Consider the following 20,512-nt stretch of genomic DNA (forward strand, 5'->3'; position numbering starts at 1 on the left):
AAAGTACAAAGTAGAGGACCCAGTTGAACTGTCTTTGGATTTACTGACAGACACAAACTGTTGTTGCTCCAAGCCACAAAGTTTAGGGATAATTTGTTGCACATCAAGAGATAGCTAATGCATGCTTCTAGAGTTTAGGGGAGTCATGGATGTAAAAAGCCAGAGACATCCTAAAAATTAGGAAGTACGTTCCCCACCTCCTCCAGCTTCAGGAAAGCAAGATAAATATCACATGCTGTCACTAAGTGATCCCAGACATGGCAGTGCCCCTCTTTCTCCCACAATTTCTCCATGTGTAAAATAAAGGGGTTGGGTTGGTGAATCAGAACTGCAAGGTTTCTGGGACCACTGCCCTCCTCCACCTTAGTAATTTTGCTTTTTGTATCCGTTGATTGAAAAGATGCAAAATGAAAAGAAGCTACTCTAAATACAGTGATGTTATAACTAGCTTTATTAGTCGCAATAACACTTCAGTGCATTTGAGACTGTCATCCTTTATACTCACTCAATGTGCAGGCATTGCTAAACAGGAATGGCTATGGATAGAGAGTATTCTCATTGAGAACAACTAAAGCAGCGCATTATGAATTATGCTTAATCACGTGGCACAAATGTATAGATGGCAAGATAAAGGTGAGGGAGGGAAAGCTGGGGTCAGATGGCCTTGGGTTAGCATCTCACTTTTGTCCTTCCCAGATGTGTACCCTACAGGGAGTGATTTCATAAATCATCAGTTGCTTTACCTCTAAATTGGGGATCGTAATACTTATTCCACAGCATTGTTAGAAATATTAAATTCAATAATGCATAGAAAATTAGCAGCTAGTTATTGCTCAATAGTGACACCTAATAATAACAAATAATAAATTCCACCTTTGCATTATTATTGACATAATTATATACAAATACCTGTACAAATACAAATAATGTACAAATGAATGACCAGGTGTGGCCATTTATTGAGTACTTACTATGGGCAAGGCATGAGTCCAAACTCTTCATGCAGTATTTCACATGCCTACTGACAGGTCTTCCAGTCTAGAGGGTGACCCTGTCTGTCCTGCTTTCTTTGGGGTAAAGCAGACAGTTTTCTCCCCCAGGATGCTTTGAGTCACTTGGACAGACAGTGACTCAAAGGACATTGGGAATCTGCTCTCAGGAGTCTACCATTCAGTCAATCCTGGCCTGGGCCCAGAACTCAGCATCTCTTCTACTGTCTGAGGGTCTGTTTCTCCATGGACAGAGAAAGAAGTATCCAGAAGGTTCCCTTTACCCCACAGAAGAGGTGATGAGACTGTCTCAGCTGAGGGGGGGTCTCTGATACTGTGAAGATACAAGGTCCCAGTGTCCCTTTCCCAAGGGTCTACACCTTAATTGAAGCCGCATCTGCAAATAATTCAAACCCTGAGACCCAACATTGTTGTCTTAAGCTTCTATGGGAGAGAGAGGGGAAGAAGAAGGGCAATGTGAAAATTGTGATGTCTTTCTACCTCTGCTGTCACTTCTAATGATACATTTCTTAGAAAATAAAGGAACACTGTGTACTATGATGTGGGAAGGCAGAGACTATAGTTTCATACAGAGTAGTGCTTAATTCCAGTTTTACTACTCACAGGCAGATTTGAGTAACTTTTATCACTTCCTACATCTCAGTTCTTCATCCATTAAATGAGGGTCACAGTCTCTGACTTACAGGAGCACATCTTGTGAGGCAAAACAACAGCTTGGATGTCAGAAGTTAAAATAAATTACACGGAGTTGGTGCTCAGCACATGCTAGAGAATCACCTGTGCCTGATTCTCAGCTCTCTCACTGTAAGATCAGAGATGACATATGAGAATTGTCTTGTGGAGTATTGGGATATACTACGTACTGAGTCCATCTGGCTATTGTTATAATATTTCTAACAAAGATAGATGCTTCTCCCCCAAACTGTTTCCTGACTTCCACTGCTCCATGAGAGGAACACTGTCACGGGATCCACAGGAGGCTGGGATATACATTCTTCTTTATTCCACAGTCCCAGAACCCCAATATTTAGCTGGACACATATTCCCACCCAGTTAAACACTATACAGGCATACATTGGAGATATCGCGGGTTCAGTTCCAGACCAGCGCAATAAAGTGAGTCACATGAATTTTTTATTTTTCCAGTACATATAGAAGTTATATTTATGCTATATTATAGTCTATTAAGATGCAATAGCATTATTTCTCGAAATAATGTATATACCTTAATTGTCAAATACTTTATTGCCAAAAAGTGCTAATGACCATCTGAGCCTTCAGTGAGTCACAATCTTTTTGCTAGTGGACGGTCTTGCCTCAATGTTGATGGCTGCTGACTGATTAGGGTGGCAGTAACTGAAAGTTGGCATGGCTGTGGCAATTTCTTAAAATAAGTCAACAATGAAGTTTGCCACATCAATGGACTCTTCCTTTCACAAAAGATTTCTCTGTAGCATGTGATGCTATTTGATAGCATTTTACCCACAGTAGAAATTATTTCACATTGGACTCAGTTCTCTCAAACCCTGCTGCTGCTTTATTAAATAAGCTTATATAATATTCTAAATCCTTTGTTGGAATTTCAGTAACGTTCTCAGCATCTTCACCAGGAATAGATTCTATCTTAAGAAACCATTTTCTTTGCACATCCATAAGAAGCAACTTCTCATTCATTTAAGTTTATTGTGAGATTGCAGCAATTCAGTCACATCTTCAGGATCCACTTCTAATTCTAGTTCTCTTGCTATTTACACCACATCTATAGTTACTTCTTCCACTGAGGTCTTGAACCTCTCAAAGCCATCCATGAAGATTGGAATCAACTTCTTCCGAATTTCCATTAATGTTGATACTTCGGCCTTCTCCCATGAATCATGAATGTTCTTAATGGCATCTAGAATAGTGAAATTTTCCAGAAGGTTTTCAATTTACTTTGCTCAGCTCCATATGAGAAATCATAATCCATGGCAGTTATAGCCTTTTGAAATGTATTTTTGAAATAATAAGGCTTCAAAGTTGTAATTATTCCTTGATCCCTGGGTAGCAGAATGGATGCTATGTTAACAGGCAGAAAAATAGCATTAATATCCTTGTACACCTCCATCAGAGCTTTTGCCAGGTGCATTGTCAATGAGCAATAATATCTCGAAAAGAATATTTTTTTCTGAGGAGTAGGTCTCAAGAGTGGGCTTAAAATATTTAGTAAACCATGCTGTAAATGAATGGGGTCTCATCCAGGCTTTGTCATTCCATTTACTGAGCACAAGCAGTAGATGTAGTGTAATCCTTAAGGGCCCTAGGATTTTCAGGGTAGTAAATGGGCATTGGCATCAACTTCAAGTTACCAGCTATATGAACTCTTCACAAGAGAGTCAGCTCGTCCTTTGAAGATTTGAAGCCAGCCATTGAGTCTCCTCTCTAGCTATGAAAGTCCTACATGGCATCTTCTTCCAATAGAATGCTGTTTCATATTCACGGAAAATCAGTTGTTTAGTGTACCCACCTTCATCAATGATGTTAGCTAGAACTTCTGGATAACTTATTGCAGCTTCCCCATCAGTACTTGCTGCTTCACCTTGTATTTTTATGTTATGGAGGTGGCTGTTTTCCTTAAACTTCATGAACCAACCTCTACTAGCTTCAGACTTTTCCTCTGCAGCTTCCTCATCTCTCTCAGGCTTCGTGGAATTGAAGAGATTTAGGTCGTGTCTCTAAATTAGACTTTGGCTTAAGGGAATGTTGTGGATGATTTGATCTTCTGTCCAGACAATTAGAACTTTCTCCATATCAGCAATAAGGCTGTTTTGCTTTCTTATCACTTGTGTGTTCACTGGAATAACACTTTTAACTTCCTTCAAAAGCTTTTTCTTTGCATTCACAATTTGGCTGTTTTGTGCAAAAAGCCTATCTTTTAGCTTATCTGGGCTTTCAACATGCCTTCCTCACTAAGCTTAATAGTTTCTAGCTTTTGATTTAAAGTGAGAGATGTGCGACTCTTCCTTTCACTTGAACACTTAGAAGCCATTGTAGGGTTATTAATTGGCCTAATTTTAGTATTGTTGTGTCTCAGGGAATAGGGAGACTCAAAGAGAGAGAGAGAGAGAGAGAGAGAGAGAGAAAGAGAGATGGGGAAAGAGCCATTCAATGGAGAAGTCAAAACATATATAACATTTATTGATTGATTAAGTTTGCCATCTAATCTTGGGCACAGTTTGTGGTACCCAAAACAATAGTAACATCACAGATCACTGATCATTGGTCACCATAACAGATACAATAATAATGAAAATGTTTGAAATATTATGAGAATTACCAAACTGTGACACAGAGGCATGAAGTGAGCACATGCTATTGGAAAAATGGCACCAGTGGATTTGCTAGACATAGGGTTGCCACAACCTTTCAATTTGTTTAAAAAAAAAAAAACTCAATACCTGTGAGGCAAATTAAAACAACCCACAATGAAACAAGGTATGCCACTATTTCTCAGCTTCCCTCGTAGCCAAATGTGGATATGTCCCTAAATTTACTGTGTTAAATATCAGCATGTGTCTGAAAGAGAGGGAGCACACTTTCTTCGTCTCCTCATCCATCTGGCTGCTTGAAATTTGGATGTGATGGCTGTAGTTCTAGCAGCCATCTTGTACTATGAGGATAAAAACCGTATTCTAGGGAAATCAGAGGGTAAGCTGGAAGGGGCCAGCTTCCACTTCATGGGGCACAGTATCAGCTCTGCCCACCTCCCAACTTCTTATATAAAAATAAACATTTGTCTATTTAAACAATTGCTATTTTGACTTCCTCTGTCCTATTTAGCAAAAGCAAATCCCAATAGATATAAAGGCTCTCCTTTATAAAAACTTAAAAATTTTGTCTTTCAGGATTTTATCCAAAGGCTATAATAAGACAAATGCTTAAAGTCACATGGACAAAGATATTCAATACTCGTATTATTACAAAAGCAAATGGATGCCTATATTTTCACCGAGGGAGGAGAGGTTAGATGTGACACGGTACATCCTAAGTCAGTGGCTTAGAGTTCCGGAGGTGAAGCCTGGGGCTGGACCAGATTCTAAGTCTCACCTCAGCTCCTTAATGTCTCTATCACTGGAGCACCTTCTACTTTACCTCTCTGAGCCACAGTTTTCTTATGTACAAAGTAGGCTGATAATAATCGTCCAGGTCGATAATGTTGCTATATGGGTAAAATTAAAGAATGTACATAAGGCACTTCACACAGTGCCCAGCTCAGGTTAATCACTGGGTGGAGGCTAGCAATCCTTCTCTACTCCCCTGCCCCCTCCCCTCTCTCCTCCTCCTAATTGGTTCTTCCCTCCCCCCATTATCCTTCTCCTCCAATAGAATACTATACTGGAATTAAAGGTATCTGCACCACTACCACCACAATGAAGGTGATTAAAGGCACATTAGCGGAAATTTAAAATCATATCACATACATATTTATACAGCATGATCTCATAACTATGTAGGAATCTATTGAAAAACTTAGGAGAGAGACACGCCAATAGCTTTTATCTCTAAGAGGTGAATTTTAGTAATTTTCCCTTCTTCTTAAAGCCTCTCTGTAATGTCTATGGTATGTCCATGAGCATGAAATATTGTTAAAATTTATGATTAAACATGATTTGTCATTCCTCTATTATAAAAAAGCTCGGCATCCCTGAGCTATACCAATCCCTGGAGAGGCCAGTTCTGCAGGGCATTTGTGAACAGAAAGCACCTCCCCTGCCAGCTGGCTGACGAAGTCCCCTGGGACTGCCACCGGATGGAGCCTTAAGGGTGAGGCATGTGGCAGGTGGGATTGGAGAGACAGATATCCCTTTAGAGCTGCCTGGGACAGTTGCTGCATTCTCTGCCATCCCTCCTGACCATTCCCTTCTAGCATCTTCTCTGACCTGGAGGAAGTGCTCTGAACTTAATGAATGCCACCCAGAGAGTGGAGTTCAATTCTCTATTTGCAGTAAGAAAAATTATTTTCCCTCCTTAAAAAGAAAGGCCCGAAAGAAAGCAATGTATCAGACCAATAGCTGCCTATGCTTAATGTGCTGTGTATTTTACAAATCCTCTTAGCAGGAGAACTGTTTGATCTCCCTCTGGCTGGATCTGTAGCTGTGGAGATGACTGACACTGGCCTGATCCCTGCAGACCAGACTGAGCTCTGCAGAGCAGTGGCCCCTGGGACACAGGACCCCAACAGATGCACAAGTGACTGACCCAGGTGCTGTGGTGTGTGACTCTCCTGGAGAAGGAACAGACCTTCTTGGAACAGAAGACAAGGCAGCTGAAAGAAGTGGCAAGAGGGCCATGGATTGAGCCAGTTAGGTCACTGTGGGTGGAGAAAACACTGGCTGGGGGCTTCCTGTCATAAATAGGTATGCATTTAATTGTCTAGGGACTCAGGATCTCTTGGGTCCTCTGAACTCTTGGCTCACAAGTGACAACACTTTGGCCCATAAATTTTTCTTTCCCCCTAGGCCCCAAATCATTCTTCTTTGAGCTGCCACTTACTAGTATTTACTACACACTAATGAATATGTGCTCTTTGTTAGGAAAGGCTGATATGCCATTTAATCCTCCCACTTCCCAGTAAAGTTGTCCCCATTTTACAGATAAAGAAACTAAGACACAGAATTAATGCCACACATATCATTGTAGCTGAGCCAGGGGTGAAACCTATATGTGTGTGGTGCAAAACTTGTGATCTAAATGTAGACGTTCTCAACGCAGGTCATGCATCAGAGTCATCTGTGGAGCTTATTAATTATAAGGATACAAAGACCCCACCCCGGGTTTCCTGAGTCTCTGGAAGATGTAATACTGATGTGAAACCTGGTGGAAAACCACTGGATGACCTAGATTCCTGAACACTTGCCCTGCATAGCCTGCCCTACAGGAGGAAGGCTGCTGAGTGTAGAATGAGAGCCTGCATGGCTGGTCTTTGGGGCTCCACTACCCTCCTCTCCCCATTCTGGGTTAGCCTCCAGCAGCTGACCCCCCGGGCTGTTGTGGTGCTGCAGGCTTCTGATTAGGACTAGGGCAACTCATTCTTTTCTCTGCCCCTGGTGGGACTGACCTCTGTCCTCAGAGGAGAATCCTGGTGGGCACAGGTCAGGAACCCCCTGACAGGAAAACTCATTGCTGCTTGAAGCAGGCAGGCCTTAGGGCCTGGGTCTCCAGAGGACCCATGGATAACTTGTGGACTGGACAGTTTGGAGGGGACACTTATCAGCCCCTTAGGTCACAGCATGAACTCAGCTGTCAGCTCAGCCTGTGACAGCTGAGTTCCCTTGGAAAAGCTCTTTTCATTTATGTATTTGTTCTTTCCTTATCTCACATTGGTGGTTTCCTTCATTCAATTCAGCAAGCAAGCACCAGGCTCTCCATTAGGAATGGGACATCCAGAAATGAAGTAGTCCCTGCCCCTGCCATCCAGATGCACAGACTCTAAAGGGAGTGACAGGCTATAAACAGACCACTGTAGTGTGGTGTGTTTCCTGCAATAAGAGAGGGAAGCAAACCTGGCTGTGAGCAGAGAGAGCCCTCAATTAAGCCTGGTAAAGGGAAAGCTGCCCAGAGGTGGTGACACTGGCTGGTGACATACAGCTTACTTAATACATTGCCTAACACCTCTAGGTTGCAGAACTTACAGAAAATACTTAGAAATGAGCTGTCATTCATTTATTCTGTTATCCATCCATTCATTCAGCAAGCATTTATTGAGCATCTCCTGTGTTCCAGGATTTATTCTAGGCACAGGTATATCTGCTCTTATAAAGCCTAAATGCATGGATGAGAGAGGGAATATAAACAAAAAAATTACATATATCTAACTTTATATTGCATGTAAATATACATATTTTTATGTGTAATTTTATATATTATATATAGTAATAAAACTTGTAGAAAAAAATAAATCAGAGAAGAATAGATTGCTAAGGGAGAACAAGTGGCAGATGTTGCTGTCCACTTCTCTGATAAGGTGATGTATAAGCAGATGTGGGGGTCAGTGACAGCGGGAGAGGAGATGGGGAAAAAGGACAGAGGATGCGGGAGCAGGTCTAAGGGAGGCTAATGTTGGATTTGGGGATCACATCATCCCACCTCCCTTCTGACACAGTGGATACAGCTGAGACCCAAAGAGTGCAGGAGGCTTCCAGAAACGAAGAAGCAGAAAAGTAGGCATCTCTCTATAAACTAGGGGTAAAGAGAGTGAAAATGGGGGCTCTAGCATTGGGTGAGATTCAGAGTCACAAAGTGACTATTTTTCTCAAGATATTTTTCTCTGATTAAAAAGCCTCCCCAAAGATTGAAAAATTTATATGTAATGATTTGTTATATGTTGCTTTGTAATAAATTACCCTCAAAACTTCATGGCTTAAAACAATAAACATTTATTATCTCACCATTTCTTTGGGTCAGGAATCCAGGAGCAGCTTAGCTGCGTGGTTCCAGCTCAAGGTCTCTCATGAGGTTGCATTCAAGATGTTTTCTGGGGCTGCATTCATCTGGAGGCTTGACTGGGGCTGGAGGACCTGTTTCTGAGATGATTTACCCACATGCCTGGCAAGTTAGTGCTGATTGCAAGAGAAGGCCTCAGTTCCTTGTCAGGGCTGCTTGAGTGTGCTAACAACATGGTAGCTGACTTCCTCCAAAGCATGTGCTTCAAGAAAGAACAAGGCAGATGCCCCAGTGTATTTTATGATCTAGCCTCCAAAGTCACACTACACATCAGGTCAGCAGCATCCTGTTTGTTACACAGGTTAGTCCTGTTCAGGGTGAACAGTGCTACACAAGGGCCTGAATGTTAGGTGGCAAGGATCATTGAGGACTGTCTTAGAGGCTGGCTGCCATAATGCTATCGAATGAACAAGCTATTTTAAAATGACATGAAATTAGCATTATTCCAAAAAGTTTACAATGTGATCACTAAAAAACAAAAAACAAAAACAGAAACAAAACAAAACAAACAAAAACAGTTTTCTTGACTATTTTTGCTTAAGGCCAGCTTGGCTCTCAATGACAAGGGAATGGCATTGAGTTCATCGAGACCTGGGGTTACCCTGGACTTTTACCATTTGTGTGTGGATACGTTACCTAATCTTTCTATGCCTTGGATCCCTCATCTGTCAAGTGGAGAGTATAATAGCCGCCATTGCATTTGCTCTTAGAATTAAAGATAGTACCCATCCCAGCAGGTACCCATTCCAAAGTGCAGAAGTTAAGGGGTTAAATCCTGGTGTTATCACATATTGGCTGTTTTACTTTGAGCAAGTTTCTTCACCTCTCTGTGCATCTCCTTCTACTTCTGTAAAATGGCAATAATGACAGTCTCTGCCTCACAGGTTGTTATGAGGATTGAATGAGTTAATGTTTGGAAAGTGCTTAGACTGTGCCCAGAACATTGTAAGTGCCGTATAAGAATTTGTGAAGTAAAACATAGTCTGGTGTATAGTAGGTGCTCAGTAACGGGTAGCTCTCTCTCCCCTTCATCTGGGATTTGGCCCCTTGACAGAGATAGAAGATGCCAGAACATGATGGAAGAAATGGTTAATTCCCCTGGTGAGTGGGAGTCTTTAGAATGTGAGTGTGGGAGCCTCCTTAGAGTGGTCTAGTGTGTTTGCTATTCCTTGGCTTTTCATGGCCTCGCATTACCCAGGCTCTCTTCCTATTTTCAGTATATTGTCCCTACTCATCCATGGTTAGACAAACAGCTGCAGGCCTTGGCCTCAGGGTCCACATGGTTCTGAGCTTTCAGGAATCATTAATCATGAGGTGGGAGTGAATAAATTTTGCTAACCTACAGGTGAGCCCGCCACCTGAATTTGTGACCCTAAAGCCACAGACAGAAAATGGAATTCCCTTTTGGAGTGTCTCGGTTAGCCCAGCTCTGTGCTTCCAAGCACACATCAACCAGCAGAAAGTCTTCTGCTCCATCACTGTGTTAAGTCAGGGATTGCCAGATTTGGGAATGCAAAATATTAAAAGTGGCTTGGAACAGCAGACTCTAGGAAGAAGGGGCTAATGCTTATTACTTGCAGATTCTGAGCCAGACACTATCAGAGCTCATTTTGTGCTCACAGTAATTCTGAGGTCGTTTTGTCATCGTCGTAATTTCACACATAAGGAAACTGATGCACTGAGAAGTTAAGTGACTTGCACGAGGACATGCACTTAGGAAGTGATAGAGTCAGGATTCAGACACAGCAGCCTGGCTCCAGACTCCAGGCTCTGAGCACTCTGCGTGCTGCCCTGATGGCTCCAGTCTCTCTGGGCTATCCCTATTCACCATGTGGCTCCTCCAGAGAAGAGGACAACAGATCTAGGCAGCACCCCCTGATCTTATTACACGTGGGCCACTGATGTGGTCAAATCATTCTATTTCTCCCTGCCTTGGTTTCCTCATCTACCACACCAGGAGGTTGGTCCCCAAAAGGGGGAGGGCACAGTCTTTAGAAAATTGGCAGACTTAGGTTTGAACTGTGGCTTTTTTGGCCAGGTCCCCTGAGGAATCTCTCTGAGCCTCAGTATGCTTTTCTTGAACAGAAGATGATGAAGGCATCTCTGGAAAGGTGCAGTTAGAACTCAGTGAGAAAATATATAAATGAAGTGTTGACATACAGAAGGTATTCAAGAAATGTTTTCTTCCTTTTCCCATCCACCCCCATAACTATCTTGTAACTTCATTTTTTAAAACTCACAAATCCATTTGTTTATTGAACAAACATTTATTCCTACCTGTTCATTCCCATATTTTATTCTGTTACATTCTTTCGTCTATCCATCTGCCTGCCCATCGATCCATCTGTTCACTCATCCACATATTTACTTACTCAAATATTTATTGAGCTACTATTGTCTGCTGTGTTCCAAAGATGGAAAGCTTAGGTCCTTGCTCTGAAGTAGATTCTTCTCAAGAATCTGGGTTCCGCATGTGCTGTTGGATGTCACATCATAATCAGATGTACAAAGCTTTGTTCAGCCAGGTTTAATTCACTAGGTTGACAGCTCTGTTATAAGCTTTTCTCCCAAGGTTTGTCCTCACTGAGTAGCAAAGTACTATGGTTAAATCATTAGTTTAAACTTCTCACCATGTTCCAGTCTGTGTTGTTGAAATTAAGTCCACGGTCAACATCTGTCTATAGCTCATTCATTTCATGCAAGCCATACAGCCTAGCCAACCTGTTCATACGACCTCTGGGCTGTTATATTTCTTAAAAGGCAGAGCCAGTACACCAGGCAGGCACAGCTGCCTTTGCCACCTGTGTGGGCTGATTTACCCTGAAATTCTAACCTCATCTAATTGGCCTAAATGGCGAGCAATTAATGACGTGGAACCTCTTTGAAGGTACTATAAATAAAAGGCCAGGAACCTAAGATTGAAGTGAACCAGGGGTTACAGTAATGATGATAAATTGTTCCTGCTAGAGGGTTGTTGTTGTTGTTTTTAAAGGAGTTACTTAGCATCTCTTAACCATGCTGACCCCACACAGGGGTCAAGGTGGGAAAGGGCAGGTATTCTGTTTGCAGTTGGTGAAATCTGACAGATAGTCAAAGGGAGAAATGTTGTGAGTCGTTTCTAAGGAGAGGTGAGCAGTGCCTGGCACAGGCACTTAAGTATGTGTTGAGTCAGTGAAGGAATGCCTTCCAGAGTGTAGCAGAATGAATCTGGGGTTTGGAATGAGATAGTTGTATCTCTGTATCTTGAACTTGGGCATGTAGACAGCTTAACCTTGCTCAGCCTTGGTTTCCCTGTCTATTAAATAGGGATAAGCATAACACCCATCTTTCAGGGTTATTGTGTAGAGTAAATGTGATAATATAAGGTTCACAGCTATATCCTCAGTGCCTGGCCCAGGCCTGGCAGGTTATAAGAGCACATCAAATGTTGTTCTTTTGCCCCTTAGGCACTCATCTCAGACACTATTAGAATATAAATTCCCTGCATAGGGTAGATTATGTTTATCTCCTATCCCTTAGATGAGTTCTAGCATACAGTAGGCCCTTAATAAATTTTAAATAAAGCAAATTTCCTTTGCTTTTCTCTGTAGTAAATTGACTCTATCAGTGGCCCTGATTCTATATATATATACACACACACACAACCACACACACACACATCCACACACACGCACACACACACCCTCTCCATGCCCTTTTGCCACATCACTTTGCATTTTCTTTCACTAAAGAACCACTTGGTTCTGAGTCTGGCCAAGTGATATGTCTTAGCCAATGGTATTTTCGGAGATATGTCATATGCAGAGGCTTACAAAGACCTTGGCACATTTCCACTGTTGCTCCTATTCCGTGGCCATGAGAAGCTCCTCAGGCTGGTCTGATGGAGGGTGAGAGGCATGTGAAGAAGGAACCAGTCACCCAACAGCCATTTGACCATGTCATAAGAGTGAGCTGAGCCACAGCCAGCAGTGTCCAGCCACACTCACCCAAGATCACAGAGCTAGACTCATAAGTGAAATAAATACTTCTTGTTTTTAGATACAGACTTTTAGGGTAGTTTGTTACATACTGTTAGTGTGGCAATAAAAAGCTGATACACCCATTCCTATCCCCAATTACTATCCAGGATAGAGCTTGAAAAGTGTCCTGAAGAAATGATTAAGCACCTCTTGTCTTTTTTTAAATTTACTTTTATCACATCTGAAAAATATTTGGTCAGGAGGAAGATAGTATTAGTTGCTTAAATTACTTTTAAGCATTATGAACTAGAAAATTCCAGCCATCCCTCGTGGGCTATCCCTTGAACAGAGTATAATTGACTGGAATAACAATACTAATGATATTAAAATCTTATCTCTGCAATGCACTTTAAGACTTATAAAACTTTCAGATGCTTTATCTAATTTGCTCTGATTCCCTGAGGAATGCTAGTTCTGATGGGTAAGGTTGCTCAGGCTGGGTCACACAGCTAGTGAGTGGCAAAGATCTTTTGATACAAAGTATACTAATTTTCAATGGCTGCTGTAATAAATTACTACAAACATAGTGGCTTAAATCAACACAAACTTGTTATTTTACACTTTCATAGGTTAGAAGTCTGACAGCGTCTCACTGGGCTAAAATCAAGGCATCGGAAGGGCTGTGTTTCTTTCTGGGTGCTCTGGGGGCAAAATCTGTTTCCTTGACATTTCCAGCTCCTAGGGGGTGCCCACATTCCTTTGTTCATGGCTCCTCCTTCCATCTTCAAAGTCAGCAACCTTGCCTCTCTCTGAACATTCATCTGTAATCACATCTCTCTCTGACTGTCTACAGTGGGGAAAGTTTCTCCACTTTTATGGATTCGCATGAATAGATTATGCTCACCTGGATAATACACAATATTCTCCCCCATCTCAAGGTCCTTAATTTTAATTACATTTGCACAGTCCCTTTTGCGTGTAATATATTCACAGATTCCAGCAACTAGGGTGTGGTTATCTTTGCAGGACCACTATTCTCTCTATATACATGGAGTCATCTACATTTCCAGTACCTCATCTAATTAGGATTCTGTTGGCTACCGACCTGCCTACCTTTCTTCTTCTTTTTCTTTCTGGTTGATGGTACAGTAGCTATAATTCCACAACTCCACTGGTTGTAAAACCTCAGTGTTTGGCCAAGCAGGAAGAAATGCTAAACACATTCCCAAAAACAGATCTTGAGGCAGAGTCGCCTTTGAGTATGTTGAGCCCAAAACATTTTATATTCTTATAAAATCACTTATTGCTAGCTACAGACATGTTTCTGATTAAAATGGTCCAAAGGGTGTGTTCTTATAGCACATATTGCTTACTCATTTCTCTTAGTGTAAAGATACTAGATACTGTAGGAGAAATGGATTTATTTTATGGTAGGGTAGCAGCAGCAGAAATTACTTCATGCAAATGAAGCTTGGCAGTGTGACTTCATGAATAAGAAATGAGCCGGCGTCTCTTCTTTCCACAGGCAATATTGCGCTCTGGGAAATTAATTGTGGCATTCGTTGGGTGGCCCTGGCTTCTCTGTTGGAGTTTCAGGCAGACAAAAAGATGCTGCACCCAACTGGATATAAAGCAGTTATATCCTTTTTAGCTTTGCTCCGCATTGTAAGTGAACAGTCGATGGGTCTCAAGTCTCCTAAAAGCGTCTTGAGACCTTTTAGAAATTACTCATGGTGGAAGCCATACGAGGCACTGAGCCACACATAGTGGCCATGAATTCAGATCATCTCTATTAGAAGAGATCTATCTAATAAATGGAAGAGATCTAAGATACTCTAGGTTTTTTTATTGAGAATATGCCTCAGTAGTTAAGCACATGGTCTCAGGAACAAAAATATCTGGGTTCAAATCCCTGCTCTGCTCCCCTCCAACTATATGACCTTTGGCAAATTACTTAATCATTCTGTGCCTCAGTTTCCCTATTTATAATTTAGAGATTATAATTGCACTTACCTCATAGGCTTGTTCTGAGGATTAAATAAGTAAATCGACATAAAGCACTTAGAATAGAGCCAAAGAACTCTACTGACACCAGGCTACAGAAGTGCCAGATAATGTTACCTTAGTTAAAATTAAAGGCAGGTACGCTTTGCTGATGACAGCTATAGGTTTTCATAGTGCAATTAAGATGAAGCAGAAAAATGGGGCTAAGAATAAGAAGTCTTGGAGTCCAGCCTCACTTGTTGCCCAGCTATCTAGGCAAGTCATTTACCTCGTTATACCTCTGTTTTCCCATTTGTTGGATGGGGCAAAGGTTGTTTCAGTTATCTCTTACTGCATAACAAATCACCCCAAAATTTAGTAGTTTAAGATAACATCATTTTATTATGATATAACTTTGTGGGTCAGAAATTCAGGCAGGCTTTCAAGCCATCCCTCCAGCAAAGCAACTTACATATGAGTTGTAACTATTGGCTAGAACACCTACATGCAGCCACATTAGCATGGTGGCTTCAGAGTTTGAAGTCCATTGCTCCCAGAGACAGTATTTCAAATAGCGGAGAATACAAACTGCCAGCTTCATAAGTCCTGGCTCTGGAAACTGGCAGTGTCCACATTGTGTTAGTTGAAGTAGGCATGGAACCTATCAGAATTCCAGGAGATGGGACCTGGACTTCGCCTCTGGATTGGAAGACTGTCAGGTAATTTTCTTTCTTCAGTTTCCAACATGATTTTGGTCTTATGATCATGATGTGTGGACACAAAGTACTGTGTAAACATGGTCTTGATTAAATTGATTAAATTGAGTTATATAATGCCTTTTTGAATAGACCTCTTTTTAGAGCAATTTTGGATTTACAGTAAAATGGAGCAGAAGTTAACAGAGATTTCCTATATACCCCTTGCCCCCCACACATACACAGCCTCCTCCATTATCGATATCTGTCACCAAAGTAGCACATTTGTTATAATTGATTAACCTACACTGGCACATCATAATCACTCAAAGTCCATAGTTTACATTAGGTTCACTCTTGCTGTTGTTCCTTGTATGGGTTTGGGCAAATGTGTAATGATAAGTATCCACCATTATGGTATCATACACAGTAGTTTCACTGCCCTAAAAGTCCTCTGTGCTCTGCTTATTCATCTCTCCCGCCTTCCTACTCCCAGGAAACACTGATCTTTTTACGGTCTCCATAGTTTGGCCTTCTCCAGAGCGTCATGTGGCTGGAATCATACAATTTGTAGCTTTTTCAGATTGTCTTCCTTCACTTAGTAATATGTGTTGAGTTTCCTCCATGTTTTTCATGGCTTGATAGCTCATTTCCTTTTAGTGCTGAACAATATTCCATAGCCTGAACGTACCACAATGGATACAGTCACCTACTGAAGGATGTCTTGGTTGCTTACAAGTTCTGGCAATTGTGGATAAAGCTGCAATAAATATCCATGTACAGGTTTTTGTATGGACATAATTTTCAAGTCTTTGAGGTGAATGTCAAGGAATATAATGGCTGGAAATTAAAAATTTCTGCTCTGTGAAAGACACTGTCAAGAGAATGAAAAGACAAGCTACAGAAGCGGGGAAAATAATTGCAAAAGACAATCTGATCGAGGATTGTTATCCAAAATATACAAATAACTCTTAAAACTCAGCAATAAGGAAACAAACAACCTGATTAAAAGTGGGCCAAAGACCTTAACAGACACCTCACCAAGATATACGGATGGCAAAAACACATATAAAAAGATGTTCCACATCATATGTCATCAAGCAAATGCAAATTAAAATGACAATGGGACAGCACCATACATCTATTATAATGGCCAAAATCCAGAACGCTGAGAACACGAAATGCTGGTGAGGATGTGGAGAAACAGGAACTCTCATTCATTGCTGGTGGAAATGCAAAATGAAATATCCACTCGGGAAGACAGTTTGGCAGTTTGGTACAAAACTAAACATACTCCTACCATATGATCCATGTAGTATCTTTTTCAAAGATCTCTTTTAGGCTCATGATGGTGACATTAAGATCTTTCAAGGCTTCAATCCTACTGTCATAGAAATCTGGAGTTTCCAATCTGTCAAGGACTCCAAGCCTGATGGAAGAGGGAAACTTAAACCTTTATTCATGTCAGAGTTATGTAAAAATGTAATGCGCTGCTTTGGGGAGGGAGGGAGGTTCCTGTTAGGAGACATATTCAAGTCCAAACTGAGTGACCACTCTTTAGGATTTTCAGAGCAGCCCAATGTGAAAGGTGGAGCTATCCTATCTGAGAGATACGCTTCAGGGATGAAAGTTTATGAATCTCTGATTTCTGGGGAAGGCCTCTAGGTCTTGTTTTCCCCTTCCAAAGTGCTGGGAATGAGGACAGTTTATAGTAACCAACAGTGCTTTCTGACCCAACAAAATGGGGTCTGGGGCTGAAGCAAAGCCTGCCTTTAGAGATAGCCCCTCCCCCTGGCATGTAAGGTAGGAAAAAGTAATTCACATTTTTGAGCAGTTTCTGTGTGGGGGCCCTGTGCTAAGAATGTTATTTGTAAAACTGGTCCCAATTCGATCCTCACATCTGCCTTGAAACATAGTGTTATTCCTCTAATTTTCAGATGAGGAACCTCAGGCACAGAGAGGTTAAATGACTTGTCCATGGTCCACAGATAGAAAGTGATGGAGTTCGAGACTGAAACCCAGGCCTGTTGGAGTCCAAAACTTAGCCTCTTCCCATCTTCCCATTCTCTCACCCCTTGGGGGAATACACTGTGCTAGCTGTACTTCCGTCTGTCACAAATGGCAAAAGCATAATTAGAATAGGATTAGGCCACAAGGGACATTTAATGGAGGTTACTGCGTGAGCACACAGAGCAACTGAACCTTGGGGAGGGTGGAAGAGCAGTTGAGCTTTGGAATGCAGAAAGCCACATACCTGAGACTGCCATTAGGACATTCTCTGTAGCTCCTGCCTCTGTTTCTCTCTGCATATTGGTGGAATTCTTCTCTCATGCTGCAGATTGACATTACCCACATAACAGAAAGGATGTCCACTGACCACTCCCAGGATTTCTTACTTAGAGCTGTAGACACTGCATATGTGGTTTTGGAGAGAGTATGTAGAAAGAAGCGGAGATGGAATCACTTAGTCCTGAGTTTAAAAATCCCAACAGAGGGAGAGATTCATTGGGTCAACTTGGGCCAGGTGTCACTAATGAACAATTAACCATGCCTTGAGGTGGGGTGGGTCGGGTCATGCAGATGGAGTGGGGAGAGAGAGAAGAAGGAAGGCCTGTACTGGCCAGCAAGCTGGAATGGCCATTGCATCTCTCAGGTGGGGGCCATTCCTACAGCAGTTGGACAGTAGAGAACCACAAATCACATTTACAGCAAAGCAGGTGGCCAATTTTCACATGCAGCCTAAATGAAGTTCCACCACACCCTGGGCTGAGTGGGAAGGCTGCCCTTCCTATATGTATGTTAGGCTAGCTTCTCTAGAAGATAGAGCCTGGGGCAAAAATTGAAAGTGAGATGTTTCATTTGGAAGATGCAAATCCATGGCAGCAAAGGTGAGACACAAGGAAGCGAGGCAAAGAAGGATGCAAAGCCACACTAAGTGGTGTGTTTCCTTGATGGCTATTATGTCACAAACAGCCATGGAGACACCCAGAAGGTCACTGCACAAGACCTTTCAGCATGACACGTGGGATTCAGCTGGATGAGCGGCAAGGCAGACTGTCATGAAGCAGTCCATGGAGAGAGGAAGAAGGAATGTATGTGTCCTGCTCCCTCTCAACTCCTATTTTCCACTGGTCAAAGTTTTCCTAGTGGGGGTTAACTCTTCTGCACTTCAGGATTGTATCACCCAGTCCTAATGGCAGCCTCTCAGGAGACCAGTTCCCACCCCATGCTGGAGAGTGTTTTCATCCAAATCTGGAAGAGGTAAGAGGAGCCAGAAACTATAGGCATGGGGCTAGGAAGGGCCCATACTCCAGGACTTGTAGCCGATCTGACCCAAGTGGCAGAACTGCCTGAGCTCAAGTCAGGCAGGGCAGCAGCCTAGGCAGAGTGAGTGGCAGAATGTTCTGGAAGCAGGTGGCATCAAGAGCCTTTGAGAAGGCTCATCAGATTTGTGTTTGATGCACTGTGTGACCTTGGACAAGTCACTGAATCTCTCTGAGCCTCAATGTCCTCAACTGTGAAATGGGGCTGATCATACCTATCTATCTCCCAGATCAGAAATAATATTGGTCCCAGTTGAGTGTTGTGCCTGGCACCTAGCAGGCACTCAATACAGAGGAGCCATATTTGTAGAGTTAGGAGTTCTGACTCAGTTCTGGTGGCATTAGCATAGCTGGATTTCCTGAGGAAAGGCCATTGAGTTTTGGTCAGGTAGAGCTCTTGAGCTAGAGTGTGGGGTGACTTGGTAGCTCTGAAAGGAAGGAGAAAAGAAAGAGAAAATGCCACCCAGAAAGGAGCTTCATAGTATCTGTCCATTGCTTTGTCCTCACACAAAACTGGCTATATAATTTGAGGGGCTCACTGATAAATGGACATGTGGAGCCCCTTGTTCAAAAATCATTAAGAATTTCAAGATGGGGCCAGCAGAGTATTGAATCAAGCACAGGGCCCTCCTGAGCATGAGGCCCTGTGTGATTGCAGAGGTCACACACCCACAATGCCTGCCTTACACTTACACGTTGCCAGAGTGCAGTATTTGGCGCCAGAGCTTGGCAATGTTCTATTCTCCCCAGCAACCTCTCTGCCTAAATGTGCCTGGCTTGATGGTGTCTTGGAAACATCCAAGGAAGGAAAGGGATGTTGGAGCTGATTGAAAATACCTCTACCTGAATTCCAAGTGGTGTCATGAACAAGTACATACATAATATAGCAGTTAAGTGCAAATTTGGAATCTGTATGTATGTATAAAGTTGCTGTTGACATGGTTCTAGTAGTTACAGGAGTGTTGCCATGGTGACTGGCAGGGCCAGCTGTTGTTTCATTTCCCCCAAAGAATTGTATGGTAATAATAGACCCCTGGAGAGTCCTCCTGGGACAAGGAATGATGTTAAAAATCTGCCAATTAATGAACAGGTAGTATAAACTGACTTCATCCTCATTTGTTGTAATTAACAGGATTTTACAGGATTTTGATGAGAAGTGGCTAATTTGGTATAGAAATGTGGAGGGTAGACTACTTTTGGAGCCTGGGTTTGAATCTGCACTGTGTCACTAAATAGCTGCATCACTTAATTTCTCTGAGCCTGTCTCCTTATTTAGAAAATGGGGATCATTAAACCAAAGTTGGAGGAACATTGAAAATAAAGGATGTGAAATGCTTAGCTCAGTTTCTGGAGCATTATAGACAGATACTACATGGTTTCTATGATGCCGATGATATTAATGAAATCATCATCATTATAATCATCATAAAGCTTCCATTTATTGAAGGCTTCCACCTATATGTCCCTATGTTGTGTACATTATCTCATTTAATCTTTATAACAACCCTATCAGTGAGTCCATTGTTATCCTCAAGTTATAGATCAGGACACGGAGGTTCAGAGATTTGCCTGAGGTCACACAGCTAGTAAATGACAATGTCAGGATTCAAATTCAGGCAGTCTAACTCCAGAGCCCAGGCTTTTAACCCTTATACACAGTGCCCCTGGGATGAGGATTAATAAATACGTGAAGCCTAAGAGACATGCATTTCTGGATTTCAGTTGGCTCTGAAAGGTTGGTCCTTGATGAAATGGAAAGTATGTTTCCTTTTATAGCAAGGGCAGTGGTGGGGTGGGATGAAGGAGGGAGATTGTTTTAATAAGCACATGCTGATGGGGGCTGCTCTGTGGACCAGCCTTGCTCTGTCTCAGGGGTTCAGCCTTCTCTTCCTGAGGCTGTCCTACTGATTCCTCTGGAGTTGCAGCAACTCCTACCCTGACCTGATCCATGGGTCAGAATCAGGGTCAGGATGAGTCAAGGCTGACTCATTGACTATCCACTCTAATGGCCCTTCCTCCCCAGGGCTCTATGGATGCTGACCTTTGTCCTCTTCCAAACTAAA

General features: G+C 42.2%; 1 protein-coding gene and 1 long non-coding RNA gene across 12 annotated transcripts in view; one reads left to right on the top strand and one right to left on the bottom strand.

Moving 5' to 3' along the window:
• Positions 1 to 20,512, top strand: part of NAV2 (neuron navigator 2) — a 776,366-nt gene that overhangs the window by 142,623 nt on the left and 613,231 nt on the right. The gene's annotated exons all lie outside the window — the stretch shown is intronic.
• On the bottom strand, positions 14,814 to 19,371 carry NAV2-AS5 (NAV2 antisense RNA 5). The gene is made up of 3 exons (NR_049725.1): positions 17,381 to 19,371; positions 16,427 to 16,555; positions 14,814 to 16,000 (listed from the first exon to the last, which is right to left on the bottom strand). It is a non-coding gene; the product is annotated as an NAV2 antisense RNA 5 (long non-coding RNA).

The sequence above is a fragment of the Homo sapiens genome, chromosome 11 (genome assembly GCF_000001405.40).
Source record: "Homo sapiens chromosome 11, GRCh38.p14 Primary Assembly".
In the NCBI taxonomy this organism is placed as follows: Eukaryota; Metazoa; Chordata; class Mammalia; order Primates; family Hominidae; genus Homo; species Homo sapiens.